This window comes from Homo sapiens, chromosome 14 (genome assembly GCF_000001405.40).
Source record: "Homo sapiens chromosome 14, GRCh38.p14 Primary Assembly".
NCBI lineage: Eukaryota > Metazoa > Chordata > Mammalia > Primates > Hominidae > Homo > Homo sapiens.
The window spans coordinates 78,024,410-78,043,924 of NC_000014.9; the positions used below are offsets into that span (position 1 = coordinate 78,024,410).

The following is a 19,515-nucleotide window of genomic DNA, read 5'->3' on the forward strand; positions in this document are numbered from 1 at the left end:
CTCCCTGCTGCTGCCTGCCTCCGCGTTTGCGCACATGCTCATACACACACGAATATCCATGTTGATTTCTCTATATCTTTCTGTTTCCAAGGAATTGGCTTACATAATTGTATTAATAGGTTCTGACTGAACAATCCCAAATCATGTAGGGCAGGTGGGCAGGCTGGAAGACTCTCAGGTGGAAGCTGTGCTGCAGGCTATAGGTGGAATTTCTTCTTCCTTGAGGACACTTCAGTTTTGCTGTCAGGACTTTCAACAGATTAGATGAAGCTCACCCATGTAATCAAGGCCAATCTTCTTTACTTAAAGTTGCCTGATCAGAGGTGTTAACTATTATATATCTACAAAATACCTTCACAGCGATATTTAGCCTGATCAGAGGTGTTAACTATTATATATCTACAAAATACCTTCACAGCAATATTTAGATTAGTGTTTGATTGGATAACCGAGTACTCCTACCTGTGTAAGTTGATACATAAAACTAACCACCATGATGGGAAGGGGAGAGTAAGAAAGGGGAAGGGCAAAATACCAGGAGTGGGCAGGCAATTTACTTCTTAGAATTTAATAGACTGAAAATATGTTCCTGCCCCTCTACAGACATGACTGACAGTGAGAACAGTCACATCACATAATTCACAAGGGAGTTCCTTGGAAATGCTTCACTATGAAATTGTGCACGAGAAGCTGTTCTATGGGCAGCTCTGCAAACTAGGTCTTCTGTTTGAGATTCATAATGCACATCACCACATTGAAAGCTCTGAGAAATCCCACAGCAAAGAAACTTGTTTATAGTTTCTAATTAGGCTTTTCCCAAACTCATTTGACCACGAAACCTTTCCTTTCTTTTCCCATGTAACATCCATCAACAGAGCATGCTTAGGCTAAGGCTGGCTTAATCTCCTCTCCCTAAAGCAATAGACCCAGTTCACCGGGATACTGCTGAGGCTTCACTGATAACATAAAAAGAACAATGCTTTCAATCATTCCTTACACATAAATGCTTCCTGCTTTCCTGGTGTTCATGGAAAGTACAAGATTGGCTGACACTAGAAAGTAGAATTCTGTGGCTTTTGTCTTGTGCATATTAAAGAAAAAAAACCCTTTTAAGAGATGAAGAATTCAAAACTATTTTCATCACATTTTGGAGCAAAATGGTCTCTAGGAAAGAGGTACTTTGCATATCACATGACATACTGCCAGCAGGTACCCTCAGGGGCATCAGAACCCTGTGGGAAAGATTAATCTTGCACACTTGGGAGCTGGTACCCCAGAGAGCAGGAAGCATTGATGCTAGTGACTGTGCCATTGATCTCATCAAACAACAAATTCTTCAGTTCATTCTCGAGTGTCTACTGGGAGCTAGGGCACAGTGAGTGCGTGTGTGTGTGTGTGTGTGTGTGTGTGTGTGTGTGTGTGTGTGTGTTGGGGGAGGAGGGGGTAGGCATGCACACAGGAATAAATAGCTAATGGTTTAAGTTAATGGACAATTTTTGTTAGGAGTTGATTTAGTAACACAGACCCCTGTGATGATAAATCTTATGTGTCAGCTTGACTGGGCCATGGAATATTCAGATGTTTGGTTAGACATTATTCTGGATGAGTCCCTCTGTGAAGGCGTTTCTGGAGGAGATGAACCTCTGAATTGGTAAACTGAATAAAGCAGATGGCCCTCTCCAATGTGGGTAGGCATCCTCCAATCCATTGAAGGGATGAACAGAATGAAAGGCTGAGGAAGAGAGGATCTGCTCTCTGTCTTGGAGCTGGGGCATGGGTTTTCTCCTGCATTTGGACTTGGGCTCAGATTTAGATTGGAACTTACACAATTATCTCTGCTAGTTCTCAGGCCTTTGGGCTTGGACTAAAACTTCCACTGTTGGCTCTCCTCGTTCCTGGGCCTTTGGATTTGTGCTAGAACTACCTTATCAGCTCTCCTGGGTCTCCAGCTTGCCGATACAGATCTTGGGACTTCTCAGCCTTCGTAACCAAGTAAGACAATATACATACCTATCCCCTGTTGGTTCTGTTTCTCTGAAGAACCCAGACTAATATAACCCCTCAAATAATAGTGTCTTAAATAGGACAAGGGCTTATTTCTCTCTCATGGAATAGCAATAGTCTGCTGCTAGGCAGACCAGAGCTGGAACAGAGCTCTAAGGTACAAGAAACCCATGTTTGGCCATTTCTAAGGCATTTCTTTCATCTGCATCATACAGAATACCTCAATACCATGTCCTTATTTCAGGCAGGAAGGAGGAGGAAATGGTGTCAAGAAGGGCATGTTCCCTCCCTTTAAGGACACAACTCAAAAGTTTTATTTATCACCTACTATACATCTCATTGGCCAGAACTTGGTCATATGGCCACATATAGCTTCAAGGAGGGGAGGCTGAGAAATGTAATCCCTATTCCAGGTGGCCATGAAACCCAGCCAAAAAACACAGGGTTCCTGTTATTCTGGAGAATGGGACAGTAGATTTTTGGGGACAGCTAACCCTGTCTTCCACAGGGTTATATAAAATGTAAAAAGATATTTATTAAGCCTGGACTGTTTCTAAGCAAGGGTGTACCACAAGCCTTTAGTTCTAGGGATTGGACTAGGGATTTAGATTCCAAGGGCTAAAAACCATGAGATGACATTTACACCTCTGAATGGATAGGAACCATCCCAGACTAAACATTTGAGATTGATACTCCTGACTGTTCCCAAAGTACCCCAAAACTTTTATTTTTAACGGCAACTTAACTTATTGCATTATAATTACTTCTGAGTGTGGATGTGCCTGCCTCCCCAATTATACTGTGCTCCTTTAGGGCGGGGACTCTGTTCTGCGTCTGACTCATGGTAGGCACTCAGTAAACACTGGCTGAATCCCAGGTGGGAAATTGTCATCTGGAAGAGTTGATTTGTAGGATGTTCTTGACACCCACTCCCATTCCCACTTCCACCTCCAAATGGTCCTGAACTCTGACCTTTCCTGGTGAATTAATAGGAAATTCTGCCAAGTTAATCCAAATAATATCTGGAAACTATATAACAGGAGTATCACTTCTGCCATATTTTATTCTTTGTGGCAGTCACAAAGTCCTTGCCAGTCTCAAGAAATGGAGTCTACCTCTTTGTGGGTGGTAGTGGTGGTGGTGGCCAGGTTCTAAATAGAGAATGTGGGAAATACAGTCGCAGCCATTTTTGGAAAACACGCTCTTCGCACACCACCTATCGAGCTCATTCAGAGGACAGAAGAGCAAGACTCCTGGATTCACCAAGGGCTTCTGGCAGGACGAGGCCAGCAGTCACATTCCTCTCTTTCCAGAGGGACCCAAGAAGAGCCAGGGGCTTTGGGAAAATCCCCGGCATCCCCTTGGCATCCAAGAAACAGCATGGGGTGGTGGAAATCCCCCTCGACTCAGAGTCAAGAGGATTGTGGTCTGATTCTTGTGTGATATAGGACATGCCACTTGACCCATTTGAGCCTCAGTTTCTTATGCCTGACAGATGAGATATTTGCATTAGATCAGTTGTTTTCCAATCTGTTGATAGCAGGGAATTCTTTTTCTTTTAGTTTGTATTATTTTCACACAAAAAGGTTGTTGACGGGGTGTTGGGAGGATATAGGTACCCACTTGTCGTTCCCTCTCCCTTCCCCTTGGGGATTCCTCATGAAGCCTTAGAGCTCCTTAGAGCACGTTTGGAAAATCCTTGGACCCGGATTTTCCCTCCCCTCCTCTCCCCTCTCCTCCCCTCTCCTTTCCTTTTCTTAGATAGAGTTTCGCTCTTGTGGCCCAGGCTGGAATACAGTGGTGTGATCTCGGCTCACTGCAAACTCTGCTTCCCAGGTTCAAGCAATTCTGCCTCAGCCTCCTGAGTAGCTGGGATTACAGGTGCACACCACCACACCCGGCTAATTTTTGTGTTATTAGTACAGGCGGGGTTTCACCATGTTGGCCAGGCTGGTCTCAAACTCCTGACCTCAGCTAATCCACCCACCTTGGCCTCCCAAAGTGCTGGGATTACAGGTGTGAGCCACCACACCCTGTTGGACCTGGATGTTTTCTACGGGTTTCCAGGAGAGGGGACTGAATGAGAGAGGAAAGACCTACCACTGCTGTCTCAGATTTCTCCTTCCTGGAATTTTTTCAGCTTCCATCCTGCTCTGTGTGTGACTTCCCCACTTTGGCCTCTCAGCCATCTGACACTGAAGTGTCTGCCAGGTGTTCTGAATGAGCCAAAGTTCCACAGATTCTTGGGGAGAGCAGTAATGAAGGAGCAGGGACATCCTCTGGTAGTGTTTGAACGCAAGCCTCTTTCCAGCTTCCTGTCATCTGTGCCAGGCTGGTGTAGGGGAGGAAGATTTCTCACCCATTACAAGATTCCTGGCTGAGGCACCCATAATAAAAGACAGACTAACAGGAGAAAAGCATACATATTTGTTTAATATAAGTTTTATATGACATGAGAGCATTCAGAAATGAAGACCCTCCCCAAACAGGGACAATTCTATTTTTATGGATGGCTGTGCAGAAGTATAGCTGGAGGACAGAAGGGTGTGATCTGATGGTGGGAAACTGGAGGGAGCTTAGCAAGGCCTGTTTATTCAGATTTTTCTTAGATAAGTGTCTTTGAGGATAAGAACATTCTTTTATTTTCTTTTTTTTTTTTTTTTTGAGATGGAGTCTCACTCTGTCACCCAGGCTGGAGTGCCGTGGCACAATCTTGGCTCACTGTAGCCTTTGCCTTCCTGGTTCAAGTGATTCTCCTGCCTCTGCCTCCTGAGTAGTTGGGACCACAGGCAGATGCCACCACGCCCGGCTAATTTTTGTATTTCTAGTGGAGATGGGTTTTCACCATGTTGGCCAGGCTGGTCTCAAACTCCTGACCTCAAGTGGTCACCCACCTCAGCCTCCCAAAGTGCTGGGATTACAGGTGTGAGCCTCCATGCCCACCTGAGGATAAGAACATTCTTTTCTTCCAGGTACAGGGAGGACTCTGCTGGAATGAGTGGCTCATAGCTGGGTTTTATGGCCTCTTCTGGGGTGTAGGGATGAGAAGAATTCTTTCTAGTTTCGATGGCCTGCTTCTGCTGTGTCCTGAAATGCCAAGGTGCCATATTTTGGGGGAGCATGTCCTAAACCCCATCACTACCATCACTAGCCTGGGAGAAGTCGGGGGACTGAGCAGAAAGCCCAGAAGACCATGGAGACTGTGGTCTCCGCAGTGCTACCTTCCCAGCTTCCACTGGTGACTCTGGGGTTCCCCCTGCCGTAAAGGAGAGGTGCTTTGCTGCTCCCAAGTCCTGTCCCTTCTCTGATGCTCCCGTCCATTTTTTCCACCACTGTATCTCCGGCGGGCCCCTCCCCACCCCCATCTTTTCTCTCCCACATTTTCTGCTCTCTCTCTTTGTTTCTCCATCCCCCTTCTCTCTTAAAAAAAAATTCAATCCCAAGAGCGATTAGATTTGCAAATGAGCGGGCAGGAAACTGGGAACAAAGGGAACCAGAGCCGAAGAGGGAGCAGGTATAATTACTGTAATTAACTCAAGCAGCAGGGACAAATCCCCTTGGCTGCGGCTGCTGTGAGGTGCTGAGAGGCACTGTAAGGGAGACTGAGGGGTGCCAGGAAACTCAGTGCCCCCTCCCCAGGGCTGGGGTGTCCTGGTGGGGGACCCTGGCGGGGGGGAAGCTCCTCTTGGACCTCGCCTGTGTGAGGATCCATTTCATCTCCTGTCCTGGGCTCGGCGGGAGCAGGGAGGAGGGGACCCAGGTTCAGAGATAGGATGTAGTCTCTTGCCCCACGGAGTGGAGCCAGGGAACAGAACCTCCGTCATTTCTTAGCTGGACACTTAGCTCTTTACTTGCTTTGTGACATCTTAGGAGCCTGCTCTGGTTTCCCTAAGATACAAATCCCATTACCGGGTATAGACCCAAAAGAAAATAGATCATTCTGCCAAAAATGTACTCATATGTTTATCGCTGTGCTATTCACAATAGCAATGACATGGAATCAACCTAGATGTTCACCAGTGGTGGACTGGATAAAGAAAATGTGGTACAAATACACCATGGCATACTATGTAGCCATAAAAAAGAGTGAAATCATGTCTTTTACAGTAGCGTGGATGGAGCTGGAGGCCATACTCCTAAGCAAATTAATGCAGGAACAGAAAACCAAATACTACATGTTCTTGCTTGTAAGTAGGAGCTAAACATTGAGCACACATGGGCATAAACATGAGAACAATAGACACTGCTGAGTACCAGCGTGGAGAGGGAGGGAGGGGTTGAAAAACTACCTACTGGGTTCTATGCCCACTACTTGGGTGCAATATACCCGTGTAACAAACTTGCACATGTACCCCCTATATCTAAATAAAAGTTAAAATTTGGCCAGGTGCAGTGCCTCACGCCTGTAATCCCAGCAGTTTGGGAGGCTGAGGCGGGCAGATCGTAACATCAGGAGTTCAAGACCAGCCTGGCCAATATGGTGAAACCCTGTCTTTACTAAAAATACAAAAGTTAGCTGGGTGCGGTGGCACAAGCCTGTAATCCCAGCTACTTAGGAGGCTGAGGCAGGCGAATCGCTTGAACCTGGGAGGCAGAGGTTGCAGTGAGCTGAGATCCCACCACTGCACTCCAGGCTGGGCAACAGAGTGTGAGACTCTGTCTCAAAAATAAAATAAAAAGTTAAAATTCTTTTTTAAAAGTCTAGAGGCCATAGAGGAGGAACATGTCTCTGATCCCATGACACTGTCATATCTGTGTCCCCAAACATCCCTGGCATTTGAGGCCTTCTAATGCACCTTTGCAATCTTACCTTTCACGATGGCCTCTCATCACTTTGTCCTCTAGCCAAATCCCACCGCATGTGGCACCCTGAACATACTCTGTACTTTTCTATTTCTCTGCCTTCGCATGTGGAGCTGTCCTTTTCCTCCTGCATTACACCTTCCCCAGTGCCATTTGGTGAAATGTTTAGAGATACATTTGAAACTACAACCCCTTCTGTGAAGTCCAAAGTAGTCTCACCCTCCACAGAAGCCTTTTCTCTTTCATGGCCCTGTCAACCAAACTTGGAGAAATCATGGTTAGATTTATTCTTGAGGACTGAAGCCTGGGAACACTGACTCAGTACAGACTGAGAATGTGTCCTGAAGTTGGTTCCATGATTCACAGCATACACGTTTTCTAACAGGGGGCATGTGTGGCACAGAAGGTGGGAGAAGCAGGAGGTGTAGCAGGAGTTATGTTTTCATTGCTGGCCAGATGCGGTGGCTCACACCTGTGATCCCAGCACTTTGGGAGGTCAAAGCAGTGGATCACTTGAGGTCAGGAGTTCCAGACCAGCCTGGCCAACATGGTGAAACCCGTCTCTACTAAAAATATGAAAATTAGCTGGGCGTGATGGTGCATGCCTGTTGTCCCAGCTACCCAGGAGGCTGAGGCAGGAGAATCACTTGAATCCAGGAGGCAGAGGTTGCAGTGAGCTGAGATTGGGCCACTGCACTCTAGCCTGGGCAACAGAGGGAGACTTCCTCAAAAAAAAAAAAAAAAAAAAAAAATTCTCGTTGCTGCTCAGTGAGGCTGTACCTAAGATAGGGTGACTATGAGGTTCAGTGGGTAGAGAGAAAGAAAGGTTAGGCATCTTAGGATCTGATGGAGGGTGACTAATTCTGCTTTTTGTTCTACAATTGATAAACAGGTTTATAATCAGTACCAGTCAATGAAATATATAACAAACTCCAGTTACACAGGCAAGAGGTCAGCTTTAGTTTACAGACCTAGGTTTTATTACCCATGTGCTTGACTACAACATCATGGGTCATTGTTAAAATTTTCTTTTGCATTTTCCTTTTTCTGATAGCTTTTACTTCACTATACGCCCTTCCCCAACTCCTATCCTTTCAGTAGGGTGGACTGATGCTGGCTTGTTTCCTGGAGCATAATACCATCTTTGGGGTTCTGTGGCAACAAAACCCCTTTCACTTGCCAGTGACAGAAACCCTGACTTATACTGACATCAAAAATGAAGGGAATTTATTGATTCAAATAACTTCCAGGGATGTTTGCAGTCAGGTGTGGCTGGATCCAGGGGCTCAAACATTAGATCTCTCCCCTTCCTCTCCCCTTTCCTCCATATGGGCCTTACTCTCAGAGTGACCTTTCCACAACACGGGCCCAGCACCTCCAGGCTACCTTTACTTCTAGATCCAGCCATCCAGGAGAGAGTGTTTCCCCTTCTCCATGTTCCCAGCACCCACCTGAGATTGAGCCTTGTTGGGCTGGATTGAGTCCAGAGCCAATCACTGGGTTGAAGGGAATGAAACCCAGTGACTGGCCAGGCTGGCATCTAGTGCCCACCCCCTGCACTCTGAGAGATGCATGAGGTCAGCCCTATCCAAACTGTGTGGATTCCCAGTTGGGCGGGACACAGCAGGGCAGCTGCAAAGGCAGAAACAGCAGATGCCCACTACCAAATCAGGGCACCGGGGGATGGCCCAGCCCAGGCAATCCCTGTATTTCCTTCAATGCCCCACCCATGTCTACCTCACCTGCCACCACCAGAGCACCGCCTTCTCACCTGCTCTAGGCACTCGGAGTCTGCACCACTCAGCCAGGTGCACACCTCTGTGTTGCCTTAGCGCTATCCTAATGTTTTCATCTGCTCTCGCCTCATTAGAGCGACAAGATTACAGACCCACTGGGAGCAGAGGATGTGACCATCCTTGTGTGCCCCTCTTCTACCCAATACACCCCTGGGGCCCTGGACGGCACTACAGTGAACCGAGCTTGGCACACAGATCATATCCAGGTCACTTATTAGCCCTGAGCTCTCTGAGCCTCAGTTTCCACATGGCTAGGGTGGGGCTATAAAAACATCTCTTTCATAGAAATGTAAAACAAAAGAGAGAATATGTGAGAAAATACTTCCCACTCTTCCAAGCTAAGCCCAGCCTGTTTTTCTCCAATTACATGATTGGGTATTTAATTACACCTGAGTTAAGAAATAAGCTTTCTCCTTCCTTGTTTCAGTGACAATACACTGTCCAGGCTACACCCTGCCTCTTCTGTTGTTTTTATTCTCTTTTGCTAGCTCCTCTTATTTTTTGCCTACCTTTTAAACAATGGGCATGAGAAAGGCAGTGAGTGTAGTGGCTTACAGCATTGGCTGGGGTCCTGAGTTGCCACCATTCTGAATGCAATTACATCACTTGATAGAGTATAACCTTAGATTGGTTAATTTCACCTCTTAGTGGCCCAGTTCTTCGTCTGTAAAGTAAGAAATCACAATAGTATTACCTCATGGGGCTGGATTGAAGGAGTTAATTTATGTAAAGCATTACAGCAGGACTTGATGGGGAGTAAGTACTATAAAAATGTTAATTATTATTCCTATTTTAATATTCCAAACATTATCCTTTAGCTCCAGGTCCAGTCAATTTTCCTCCTTAAAACATCTCAAATTCATTTTTTAAAACACTTCTTCATCCCTACTAATTTCTTAATTCAGTCCCTTATAATTTTAAGCATGGATTACTCCCACCTCCTCCTAATTGGCCTCCATTACCTGTGTTGCCTTCCAATCTATTCTCCACACAAAAATCTGATCTTATTTCTCCCCTGATTTAAATCTTTGAATGGCAGCCCATAATGATCAGAATATGAAGTCCACACTCTCGGGCATGAAGTATGAAGTGCTTCGTGATTTTCTCCTTGCTCATTTCATTAGCCCCTGTCTCTTCACTGCTCCCTTGTCTCGCCATCTTTCTCTCACCTCCTTGTCTGGTATTCTCTTACTTCCTCTTTTCTCCTGACTACTTCTTCAGCATCCATTGAGCTTCAGTTTAGGCACCTCACCTACTGCACCAGGGACTATCTATCTCAGTAGTTGTCACTTTGCATTAGTGTCTGTTGCCTCCACTAAACCTCTTGAAGGAAAGGACCTCATGTTTGAATGTCTAGCTCTTAGCACAGTTCTGGTGTCTTGTCTGGGCTCAGTGTTTTGTTGAATGAATTGATTAGTGATAACTACTTCTAAAGTTGTCAGGCCTCTTCTGGTTGCAAATGACAGAAACTGGCTTTAGGCATGGCTGGATCCAGATACTCAAACAACATCATCCGGACTGTGTCTCCCTCCATCTCTTCTTCTTTTTGTTTTGTTTCGAGATGGAATCTTGATCTGTCGCGCAGGCTGGAGTGCAGTGGCGTGATCTCAGCTCAGTGTAATCTCCGCCTCCTGGGTTCAAGCTATTCTCCTGCCTCAGCCTCCCAAGTAGTTGGAGCTACAGGCATGTGCCACCATGCCTGGCTAATTTTTGTATTTTTAGTAGACAGGGGTTTCACCATGTTGGCTAGGCTGGTCTCGAACTTCTGACCTCAGGTGATTTACCCACCTCGGCCTCCCAAAGTGCTGGGATTACAGGCTTGAGCCACTGCGCCCGGCCCCCGACTTTTTTTTTGAGAGGGAGTCTCTCTCTGTTGCCCAGGCTGGAGTGCAATGGTGGAATCTGGGCTCACTGCAACCTCCGCCTCCCAGGTTCAAGCGATTCTCCTGCCTCAGCCTCCTGAGTAGCTGGGATTACAGGCGTGCACCACCACGCCTGGCTAATTTTTGTGTTTTTAGTAGAGATGGGGTTTCACCATGTTGGCCAAGCTGGTCTCGAACTCCTGACCTCATGATCCGTCCACCTTGGCCTCCCAAAGTGCTGGGATTACAGGCGTGAGCCACCGTGCCTGGCGTCTCCATCCATCTCTAGGCTCTGTTTTCCTCTGTCTTGGTTTAATTCTTAAGCTGGCTTCCTGAAAATGACCAGCAGCAGCTTCAGTCTACTCATGTAGCAACCCTAGTGGAAAGAGGGTATCTCTTTCTCAACATTTTCAGCTAGAGTCTCAGTACCACCTTCATTTGGCCAATTTACTTCCTGTGCTGGGGCATGAAACGTGGTGATTGGTCAGGCCTGGGTAACACTCCTATCCCTGGAGCTGGGATGGAATCATGCCCTCCTGAAACATGTGGACTGAATGGGGCAGGGATGTTCCCCAAAATAAAAATGGGGTGCTTTTGCCAGAAACATGAGAAATGGATTAGAGGGAAGCAAAAACAGCATTTGTACAGAAGTGCCAGGCACTTCTAGTTCTTCTATGAACATTTCAATTAATCTTCACAACAATCCAAAGAAAATCCACTCCACCAATGAGAAAACCGAGGCTTGGGGTGGTTGAGTGACTTGCCTGAGTTTACATAGCTCACAAGGACTGGAGCCAGATTGTCACCCTGGCAGTTTGATTTTAGAGTTTTCCTCCTGTAAAATGTTTTTAAAAAGAAATGCACACAGTAAAAATTCTGAACAGCATAAAAGGATGTACAGTGACAAAGTAGTTATACTTCAAGCGCTGGCTGTGAGCACCCCCTTTCACTCCTGCCCCCTAATCATCCGCTCCTGAAATCCTACTTTGAAGCTTCATTATGCTGATCCAGAATAGTCTTTAGTCTAGGGCTAGTGTACCCCCACTTCTGAGTATTCTACCCAATGCCCCGCGTATTATGAGGTCTTTCATCTCTGGCTGTTGGGAACACAACCTATTTCCAGCCCTATGTGATATCTGAAAATTGCTTGGCTTCCTGTTCTCCAGTGGTCCTTTCCCAGCTGCAGGTAGCTGCTTCTTACACATGTGCCAGTCAGCACCCAGGCCCAGACCATAGGGGACCCCTCTGCCAATCACTGGAGCGCTTCTGTATGCAGCTTTCTCTTCTCTGATTCTTGGCTCTGCAAATTTAGCTGCTTTGGCCACCCTGAACTGCAATCTCTGTCTTCTTAATTCAGGGAGACCACTGAGCTCTGCCTCAGTTCCTCCTCCCTGCATCGTGGCCTGGAAGCAAACTTCAGGCCGTAAGCTGAGGTTATTGTAGGACTCTCCTCTTTTGTTTCCCTTCTTTTACCTTCTCTTAGCAGTCCTGTACTGTCTGACGCTCAGTGTCTTAAAACTATTGTTTTATTTTGTCTGTTTTTTTTTTTTTAAGTTGTTTTGCAAGGCAAGGGGATAAATCTGTTCTCTATTATTCCATTGTGGCCAAAAATAGTATAAGTTTTACTAGTTTTTTTTTTTTTTTTAATCCTTCCAGAGATATTTTTATTTGGCGAATGGGCTCACTGCCCAATGTGCACAGAAGCTAATAACTATGGCACTGGCTTTTGAGAAAGGAAAGGCTTTATCACAAAACCAGTCAGCAAGGAGACAAGAGTGCGCTTAAATCTGTCTCCATCATTTGGGGTCTAAATTTTAAGGGATTAGAGGGAAAGAGAAAGGATTTAGGAATTATTTTATTTTATTTTATTTTTTGAGACGGAGTTTTTGCCCTTGTTCCCCAGGCTGGAGTGCAATGGCGCGATCTTGGCTCACTGCAACCTCCGCTTCCCAAGTTCAAGCAATTCTCCTGCCTCAGCCTCCCGAGTAGCTGGGATTACAGGTGCCCACCACCATGTCCGGTTAAGTTTTGTATTTTTAGTAGAGATGGGGTTTCACCATGTTGGCCAGGCTAGTCGCGAATTCCTGACCTCGTGATCCTGCCTTGGCCTCCCAAAGAGCTGGGGTTACAGGTGTGAGCCACCATGCCCAGCCAGGATTTAGGAATGTTAAATTGGCAGGGTCTGGTTGGAGGGCTTCAAATTTGACCATTTGTGGTAAGGGATGCTGAAGCAGATTTTAGCACCAGATCTTCCAGGCCAATGGACTCCTTGCTTCTGAAAGAGTTCTGGTGTTCAGGTTCTGGTCATGTCCCAGTTTCCTTGGTTCTGAGGGGAGGAATTGTTGATCTCAGATGTTTTTAGAGGCAAAGTCTTTTTCAGTTGCATGCACTTGCAGTTTCTGGCTCTGTTGTACCTAAAAGGTAACTGGACATTTTGTTAACAGAATAGGTCCAGTTTGGGCTGTTCCCATGGTTACAGTATTCTCTGCATAAACAAGCATATATATCTCCTGTTCTTTCTACAAATACCCTTTGCTACAGTACTGTTTTGCACCTAATTTTTGTCACTTATTATCTTAGAGATTGTTCCATATAGCTTGACCTCATTCTTTCAAAGGTAGAGCCTGCCCTCCTAACCCCTTATCAATTCTGCCTCAGGGAATGACAGCTTTGCTATTATTGGTTATAACTGATGCTTGGTAAATAGTTGACGAGTTGAATAAATTATGTTGAAACTGCACCCAGGTGGCTGGATTCGCATGTTCTGATGACTGGAGGAAACGGGTGCTCTGTTTTCAGTTTGGGGTCCTTTGTCTTCCAGGTGGTTCAGTCCCCTCCTTTCACTCTTCTTCAGGGGTTTTTCTCTCATCTTGGTCTGCGGTAGACTGAGGCATAGAAATAGTTAAGCCTCAGTTCTTTTCTCTTTTCTCCCATTTCATAAGAATTCAATTTACAGGACAAAATCCCATCCATTGTATTAAAAGAGGCACAACTGTATGAAGAATCACTAGAAGGCGATATGAAAATGTGCCTGGGTAGAGCCTGGTGTCCAGATGCCCAGCAAATGCATTTTGGATAAATTTGGGGTTCACTTGTGTCTTGTGTGATTATTACGTAGCCCCTTGTAATGAATTGAATTATATTTTTCCCCCAAATTCATATTTTGAAACCCTAACCTCCAATGTGACTGTATTTGGGGACAGGACCTTTGAAGAGGTGATTAAGATGATATGAGGGCTTAAGGGTGAGGCCCTAGCCCAATAGGACTGGTGTCCTTATAAGAAGAGGAAGGGGCACTAGGTGTGCTCACACACGGAGGAAAGGCCAGATGAGAACACAGCCAGAAGACGGCCCACAAGCCAGGGAGGGAGGCCCCAGGAGAAACCAAAACTGCTGACACCCTGATCTTGGGCTTCCAGCCTCCAGAACTGTGAGAAATAAATTTGTTATTTAAGTCACCCAGTCTGTAGTAGTTTATTACGGCAACCCTAGCAAACTAATATTCTACCCACCCTAAAAGGCCCAACCTTTTAATACCATTACAATGGGGATTAAGTTTTGTTTTGTTTTTTCTTTTTTGAGACAGGATCTCACTCTGTCACCCACGCTGGAGTGCAGAGGTTTGATCTCAGCTCACTGCAACCTCCACCTCCTGGGTTCAAGTGAACCTCCTGCCTCAGCCTCCTGAGTAGCTGGGAATACAGATGCACACCAACATGCCTGGCTTTTTTTTTTTTTTTTTTTTTTTTTTTTTGGTAGAGACAGGGTTTCACTATGTTGGCTAGGCTGCTCTCTAACTCTTGGCCTCAAGTCACCTGCCTGACTTGGCTTCCCAAAGTGCTGGGATTACAGGTGTGAACCACCCCACTTGGTCGGGAATTAAGTTTAACATGAGTTTCTGAGGGGACAAACATTCAAACTGTAGTACTTAGATAAGCTTGTTCTTCTTTTGCCTCAGTTTCCTCACTTATAAATACCCAGGGGATTGCTGGGTCATATAGTAAGTGAATATGTAACTATACAGGAAACTGCCAGGCTTTTCAAAAGTGCTATATGATTTTGCATTTGTTTTTTTCTTTTTGTGGAGAGTCTTGCTCTGTCACCCAGGCTGGGGTGCATTGGTGCGATCTTGGCTCACTGCAACCTCTGGGTTGCAGCCTGGGCTCAAGCGATTCTCCACCTCAGCCTCCTGAGTAGCTGGGATTACAGGTGTGTGTCACCATGCCTGGCTAATTTTTGTATTTTTAGTAGAGACGGGGTTTTGCCATATTTGCCAGGCTGGTCTTGAACTCCTGACCTCAAGTGATCCGCCTGCCTCGGCCTCCCAAAGTGCTGGGATTACAGGCATGAACGACCATGCCCAGCCCTGTTTTGCATTCCTACCAGCAAAGTATGAGATCTCCAGTTGCTCCCCATACTTGCCAACTCTTGGTACTGCTCTCTTTTTAATTTCAGCTATTCTAGTGGTGGTAGCAGTATCGTGTGGTTTTAATTTGCATTTTCCTAATGACAGTGATGTTGAGCATATTTTCATTTGCATATTTGCCATTTGTATTTCGTTTGTGAAGTGTCTATTCAAATCTTTTGCTTCTTTTTAATTGAGTTAATATCTTATTATTGAGCTACAAGAGTTCTTCGTATATACTAGATATAAGCCTTTTTACAGATGTATGTATTGCACATATACTTTTTCTGTTTATGGTTTGCCTTTTTAAAAAATTCTGTCTTTCAAAGAATAGGAGGATTTTATTTTGAGCTAGTCTGATTTATCAAAAATTTTTTTCTTCTAGAGTACATGTTTCTATATACTAAGAATTTTTGCCTTTACTAAGGTCACAAAATTTTTCTCTTATGTTTCCTTCTAGTTTTTAATTTAGCTTTTACATTTAGGCCTATGATCAATTTTAAGTAAATTTTCATTCATAGTGTGAAGCAAGTTTCAAGACGTATTTTTTGCTTGTGGATATTCAATTGTCCTAGCAACATTTGTTGAAGATCTTTTTCCATCGGATTACCTTGGCATTTTTGTCAAAAATCAATTGACCGTATCTGAGTGGATCTATTTCTGGACTTTCTATTCTGTTTCATTGATCTATATGTCTGCCCTATGTTAATAGCTCATTATCTTTATTATTGTAGCTTTATGGCAAATCTTAAAATAGTGTAGCTCTTACACTATTTTAGCATGTAGTGTAGGAGGTAGTCTGAATCCTCCAACTTCGTTCTCCTTTTTCAAAGTTGTTTTGGCTATTTTAAGTTCTGAGCATTTACATATAAATTTTATTATCACGCTGTCAATTTCTGATAAGGAAAAACCTGGTGGCATTATGATGCAGATTACATTGAATCCCAATAGTTTAGGAGGTACTGATACCCTAATACTGAGATTTCCAATCTGTAAACATATATGTCATCACTTATTTGGGTCTTTTTTTTTCGGTGGCTATTTTGTTGTTTTCAGTGTAGAGGTTTAGCATACAGTAGCTCCCCCTTATCCATGGTTTCACTTTCCAAGGTCTCAGTTACCCATGGTATAATAAAAGATATTTTGAGAGAGAGAGAGAGACCGACCACATTGATGTAACTTTAATTACAGTATCTTGTTATAGTTATCCTGTTTTATTATTAGTCATTGTTGCTAATCTCTTACTGTGCCTATTTTATAAATTTAACTTTATCATATGTATGTATGGAAAAAACATAGCGTCTATAGAGTTCAGTACTATCCACAGTTTCAGGCATCCCCTGGGGGTCTTCAACTATATCCCCTGTGGATAAGGAGGGACTACTGTATATTTTGTTAAGTTTATCCACAAGTGTTTCATATTTTTTGATGCTATTGTAAATGGTGTTTGTGGCAACCAGCCTCCAGATTGTCCCCCAGTGATCCTTCCCTCCTGGTATTCATACCCTTGTACAGTCCCTCCTATCCCCCACATGGTACCAGGGTTGGTCTGTGTGACCAGGAGAATATAGCAGAAGTGATAGAATGCTACTTCTGAGACTAGGTGGTACTAAAAGACATAAAAGACATCATGTCTTCTTTGCTCTTGTTTGAATTGCCTGTTCTAGAGGACACTGGGAGCAGCTCTATTGGAAGGTCTATGTGGAACTAGATTTTCCTCAACGAGGAAACTAGAACTTTCCTCAACGAGGAACTGAGGTCTCCATCAACACTGTGCAGGAGTCTTCTTGGAAGTGGATCCTCCAGCCCTGGTCAGGCCTTCAGATGTCAGCAGCCCTCGCTGACATCTGGACTACAACCTCAAGAGACCCTAAGCCAGGCCACCCAGTGAAGCTGCTCCCAGATTCCTGACTCTCAGAAGCTGTGTGAGATAAAAAATACAATGTTTATTGCTTTAAGCTGTCAAATTTTAAGGTAATTTATTATGCAATAATAAAGAACTAATACAGTATTGTAAAAAATTAATATCTTTTAAATTTTAATTTCTAATTCTTTGTTTCTGTCATGTAGAAATTATTAAAATATTGACCTCGATCCTGTGTTCTTTCTAAAATTGGCTGTTTTGCAGATTTTAAAGGATTTCTACATAAGCAATCGTGTCATCTGTGACAAAGATGGTTTTACTTCTTTTGATATCTAGATGCCTTTTGTTTATTTTGCTGCCTTATTAAAGTTGTCAAGACCTTCAGTATAATGTTGAATAAAAGTGGTGAGAGCAAATAGTCTTACCTTGTTCTTGATCTTAAGGGGAAAGCATCCAGTCTTTCCCCATAAGTATAATGTTAGCTGTAAGTTTGCCAGAGATATCCATTATCAGATTGAGGATTTTTTTTTCCCCTGTTCTTAGCTTACTGAGAACTTTTATTATGAACCATTTCCTAATATTTTTCTGAACCAATGGAGATAATCATATGGTCTTTTTTTTGGTTATGTTAATATGGTGAATTACATTGATTGACATTTGAATGTTAAGCCAGCCTTGCATTCCTAGGATATACCCCACTTGGTCATAATGTATGAATTGTCTTGGGAAATATTTGATGAATGCTTTTTTCTTTTCTATTATTTGGAACACATCTGCATTTCACTTATCTGTCAGAGCCCTGGAGACTTTACTCCCTATTAGCTGCTGCTTGGGATCACAGTGGTCCCATGGTGTCTGAAGTCTACATAAGTGAGCTTTGGTAACCCTCTGAGATCTTCAGGTGGGGTGCCCAGACTGAGACATGTGGGAATCTTGGTAGACTGGTGACAACATCTTGCCCTCCTTGAATCAGTATATTTGTTCAAATGAAATGTTCAACTTCAATTTGGGGGAGGAGCTGAAAACTGGGAGAGTGAGTAGAAGAGTGGGGAAGGAAGACTACTGGTGGAACGTCAGTTTCCCTGTCCTTTAACCAATTTAGCCCCTGCCTGAGATGAATGTCCTGAAGATAACTGGCCCCATTGTCCTTAGAAGGCAGCTTCTGTTGATACTCAAATATTCTTCCAGTGTAGAAGAAGAAAAACAGAAATTTAAACAAAAATTTAAGCAAAAAAGGGTTTTATGATGGCAGTTTTACAGAATCTTGGGCATATGGTGGAGAATCAGAAAATGTATAGGAACCAGAGAAGAGTTACCTTAGCATGTCACTGTGGATCCTGCCATCCCCGGACCTCACCATAACATGTTGGGGCCCTTGATTCTGCAGTGGCTGGTGCGTCATCTCTGACATCTTTGATTTGCTCCATGTCTTGACATCACTTTCTTCCATGATTCAGGGTCCTATGTAGAAGCATCCAATTGGCCAAGCCTGGGTCAGTCTCTCAGGCCGTTGAAGAATGGGAGAGGGAATATCTGCTCCTCAGATTTCTATAGTGAGATATGGGCCCCTCCTTAAAATAAGGAGAATAGTTAGATAGCGGCCTCCCTAATTTGACAAATATCCACTATGAAAGCACAGCCTTTAGGGGTCTTAGCCACATATCCAGGATCATTTTACAATATTCCTTCAACCCTTACTCTACATTTCCTGAGAAGAGTTTTGAGAAGAACATTTTCCCCTCCATCTCCTTGTTTCCAGTGACACACTAGCACCCTTGTGAGGTTTGGTGCACCTTTCCTTATGCGCTGGTGCTCCAGGCACCTGCCTGGCAGACTCACCCCTTAATCTGACTCTGAACTATCTTTTCATAGTGCCTGGAGCTCAGTAGGGGTTTGATCAATATTTTTTGAAAGACAAGTGTCCTCCTTGGGACTCCAGGCAGATGGATATGAGATAGTACAATAAATAGTTTTCACTAAAGAGTGATGAGGCTATGGGGAGTCTGTCTTCGGCCTGCCTGTGAGCTGGGGTGAGTATCCACATGCTCTGAGTAGGGAGACTGAGCTCTGGGACTCTAGAAGGGAAACTGTCAATGGATGAGATGATAGAAAAGAGCCTGGGTGTCTCCACTGAGTCCCAAACAGCTGCCAACTTCTCAAGGTTAATGAGTTGAAAAGGGCTAGAACCTCTGGGCTTTCTCCTGTGTGCAGTCTACTGTGGGTCTTGGAGTCTGTGAAATAGCTAGTGAGCTGACTAAAGAAATACAGTCTCTCTTCTGTTCTCTCCCCATTCCATTTTTTATTATCGTCCCTTATCTGCATCTCATCTAGTCTGGGACAATCAGATGACAAAAGAATTCTACTTTAAAACAAGTGCACTCAGGTATTTATAGTAAGGAAATGTGACTGAATGAGCTAGCTACTAAAAATAGAAGGTCTGACTTAATCCATTCAGGAAGATTGTGGCCCAATGTGTTTAGGGATAAATCAGTTTAGATCTAATATTTAGAAAACTTATCCCAGATTTGGATGGTTGACCTCTTGTGAAAAAATGCTCTAGAATTTTCCAGATTGGTAGCAATGCTGGGATGGGCTTTGCATGAAAAAACCTTGACTCTTAGCCTGGGCACCAGGAGATCTAAAGTGTGTTCCAATTTTACTAGACAAAAATTGGTCCAAATACTCTAAACTTTGCACCATATCAATTTCAGTAGGGCTTGCTGAGATCATAAGGGAGATTTGGGGCTCTGACTTACATTTGGGGAATACTATCTCTCTGTC

General features: G+C 44.2%; 3 annotated features.

The window, feature by feature from the left end:
• Nucleotides 4,540-5,343: an enhancer, noted in NCBI's record as "OCT4-NANOG-H3K27ac hESC enhancer chr14:78495292-78496095 (GRCh37/hg19 assembly coordinates)". NCBI's record gives its function as "activates a minimal SCP1, AML or CMV promoter by ChIP-STARR-seq in primed H9 embryonic stem cells {active_cell/tissue: H9 hESC(primed)}" and the evidence as "EXISTENCE:reporter gene assay evidence [ECO:0000049][PMID:30033119]".
• Nucleotides 5,344-6,146: an enhancer, noted in NCBI's record as "OCT4-NANOG-H3K27ac hESC enhancer chr14:78496096-78496898 (GRCh37/hg19 assembly coordinates)". NCBI's record gives its function as "activates a minimal SCP1, AML or CMV promoter by ChIP-STARR-seq in naive and primed H9 embryonic stem cells {active_cell/tissue: H9 hESC(naive and primed)}" and the evidence as "EXISTENCE:reporter gene assay evidence [ECO:0000049][PMID:30033119]".
• Nucleotides 7,983-8,484: an enhancer, noted in NCBI's record as "H3K4me1 hESC enhancer chr14:78498735-78499236 (GRCh37/hg19 assembly coordinates)". NCBI's record gives its function as "activates a minimal SCP1, AML or CMV promoter by ChIP-STARR-seq in naive H9 embryonic stem cells {active_cell/tissue: H9 hESC(naive)}" and the evidence as "EXISTENCE:reporter gene assay evidence [ECO:0000049][PMID:30033119]".